This window comes from Homo sapiens, chromosome 10 (genome assembly GCF_000001405.40).
Source record: "Homo sapiens chromosome 10, GRCh38.p14 Primary Assembly".
NCBI classification, from domain to species: Eukaryota; Metazoa; Chordata; class Mammalia; order Primates; family Hominidae; genus Homo; species Homo sapiens.
The window spans coordinates 17,734,210-17,734,787 of NC_000010.11; the positions used below are offsets into that span (position 1 = coordinate 17,734,210).

Here is a 578-nt window from a genome sequence, read left to right on the forward strand (position 1 = left end):
GCATATGTACTCCCAAACCTAAAATAGTTGGGAGGAAGGCTGGGCATGGTGGCTCACGCCTGGAATCCCAGCAGTTTGGCAGGCCGAAGCGGGAGGATCACCTGAGGCCAGGAGTTCAAGACCAGCTTGGCCAACATGGTGAAACCCCGACACTACTAAAAATACAAAAATTAGCCGGGTGCAGTGGTGCACACCTGTAATCCCAGCTACTCGGGAGGCTAAGGCAGGAGAATCTCTTGAACTCAGGAGGTGGACGTTGCAGTGAGCCAAGATCACACCACTGTACTCCAGCATGAGTGACAGAGCAAGACTCCATCTCAAAACAAAACAAAAAAATGTTGGGAGGTGATAAAAAGGTAATCTAGCCAAAGGGAAATCTGCTGATGAGAGTGAATCTTAGTTGGTGTCACTTAAGTATCCTGGTCCCGTGAATAAGCTGTTTCTCAGATGCTGACTGATGCGGCTTTGGTGCTGATTAGCTGACTGTCCTTGGTGATGATTACTTTCATCCTACGTTGGTCTGCTTCAGGGAGAGGAAGTTCAGGTCCATCTGATTTTTGAAGGTAGACTCATTGTTT

The 578-nt window shown here is 48.1% G+C and overlaps 1 annotated feature.

Annotated features, from left to right (window-relative positions):
- Positions 378 to 578: a silencer, noted in NCBI's record as "peak889 fragment used in MPRA reporter construct". NCBI's record gives its function as "represses an SCP1 promoter by STARR-seq MPRAs in K562 erythroleukemia cells {active_cell/tissue: K562}" and the evidence as "EXISTENCE:reporter gene assay evidence [ECO:0000049][PMID:32103011]".